Source organism: Homo sapiens, chromosome 11 (assembly GCF_000001405.40).
Source record: "Homo sapiens chromosome 11, GRCh38.p14 Primary Assembly".
In the NCBI taxonomy this organism is placed as follows: domain Eukaryota; kingdom Metazoa; phylum Chordata; class Mammalia; order Primates; family Hominidae; genus Homo; species Homo sapiens.
Genome location: NC_000011.10, coordinates 95,279,953 through 95,281,980, shown reverse-complemented (window position 1 = coordinate 95,281,980; position 2,028 = coordinate 95,279,953). Strand labels below are relative to the sequence as shown.

General features: G+C 38.9%; 1 annotated feature.

Moving 5' to 3' along the window:
* Positions 1,162–1,456: a silencer, noted in NCBI's record as "tiled region #282; K562 Repressive non-DNase unmatched - State 24:Quies". NCBI's record gives its function as "represses a minimal TATA promoter and a strong SV40 promoter by Sharpr-MPRA in K562 cells {active_cell/tissue: K562}" and the evidence as "EXISTENCE:reporter gene assay evidence [ECO:0000049][PMID:27701403]".

The following is a 2,028-nucleotide window of genomic DNA, read 5'->3' as shown; positions in this document are numbered from 1 at the left end:
CTGTATTGTTTATTAATCACTGTGGAACCATACTGGTCCATATGGAATAAAAATCAGCTGAAGCAAAGACAAGGTATTTGATAGATTTAGTGGTAGTGGTGTGTGGATATGAGAGAGAAAGAGAGAGACTACTATTAATAATAACTGTTTATTGAGAACTTTCTATGGACCAGGCACCACGCTGCTAAGTACTATACAGGCATTCTTTAGTTAAATTCTCTCCAAGCTTATAAAGGCAGGTGTTGTTACTATCCCCATTTTACAGAGAAGAAAATTGAGGCCTAACTTGCTAGAGACACAATTTTGAAACAAAATTTGCTCTTAATTATGATGTTATAATGCCTAGCCCACTCCCATCTTTCTCAGAATTTTGTTTTATAAGAAAATTATATCACTGTTTTTTTTTAATGGCACAAAATCCTGAGACCAACAAGGATAATGACAAGAACTATAAATATTGAAACTCTTACCTATTAGACACTGTGCTTGATCTCACACAAACTTGCCTGTACATAAATAATAATACATATTATGCCCACTTTAAAAATGAGAAAACAGAATCTAAGATGTTTTAAGTAACTTGACCCAGCTCTTTCCAACTGACCAGTAAATGGCAAGTTGGAGTTCAAATACAAAGCTGCTGATTTCAATGTCCAAAATCTTCTCAGAGCCTCTTTCATTTTTTTCCTCATTGTTTTCTTAGGGAAAGAGCCCAAGCAGAGAATCATTGTTTGATCATTTTCTAATTTATCCATGTGTGAGCACCAGCACTTCATTCCTAATGTATGTACAGATTCATGTATTTAACATACAGTATAAGTACATTGGGAGAGATACAGTCCTCAGAAAAAAACAGAAGCCAGCATTTATTGAGGTTCTATTACATGCCAGGCACTATGTTAGGTGCTAAGATGTGGTCCCTGCCTTTAAAGAACCCTCAATCTTACAGGGAGATAAATTCTTAAGACATGAACTTTCAACAGAAGGTAGTGAGTCTAGTGAGGGGCTGTCATATACACTCCCAGATCAGGGGCATCTAACGTAATTGCGCCTCTGAGAGACCTTGGTGCCATCTACTCATTGTTTTCAGATGTTCACATTTGCACAGTTAACACAATTCTAGAGGGAACCAATGTTGCTAGCGGTTCATAAAACTGAGAAACAAAGCAAAAATAGCAAAAAGTAATACTACGAATAATAAGTGAACTGGAAACTCCTACTCAGAAAGTTTCCTAGGCTCTCCACTTCCCTGGAGCTACTCAGCCAGGCCATCTGCATGACAAGTCCCCAGTCCTGCCTGCCCTGCCAGAATTCCCCTCCAAAGGCACCAAGCCCAGAATCTGCTGAGTGGGCAGCAAGTTCCCGATGCCTGCCTTCCAGTGCCAGGTGACTTGGCTCAGGTATCTCCCAGAAACTTTGTACCACAAGACCTGGAAATTATTGCCTTTGCTCATCGCCAGACATTAGAAACGAGTATCTGTATCAGAAAAATAAGTAAATACAGGAAACCAGTAAGGGAAAGAGAAGGGTGAAACAGACAAATAAGGAGAAGTGAAGACAAGAACTAGAGACAAAACATCTCACAGGAGACACAGAGAGCTTTTGAAACTTCCTAATTTCCTACAAGGTTCAATGAGCCTAGTTGTACTTTCCCCATCTTGAATTTTGTGCAATCTCTCTATTTTATTTTACTAAATCCTTTTAAATGTGTTAACTCAAGTGGGTTTCTGTTTCTTCCTACCAAAAAAAAAAAAAAAATCTTTGACTAGAACACGTTCAAATTCTTCTCTTTTGAGTCATACATTTATCTTTTTAACCCACTATTTTGCCTCAGGAGTGAGACCCAGCCAGAGCTATTCATTATCTTGCAAATGCATTTAGCCTTTTGTTGCCTCTATTTCTTGGTTATAGGTTCTCTCTGCTCCAAAGGCCTGTTACCTTCATGTCCAAGTATCTATATGTCAGCCAGGCTTTGAGCCCCAGGGGAAATCTCCTCCATATGGCTTCTCTGAACCTTGCTGGCCACAA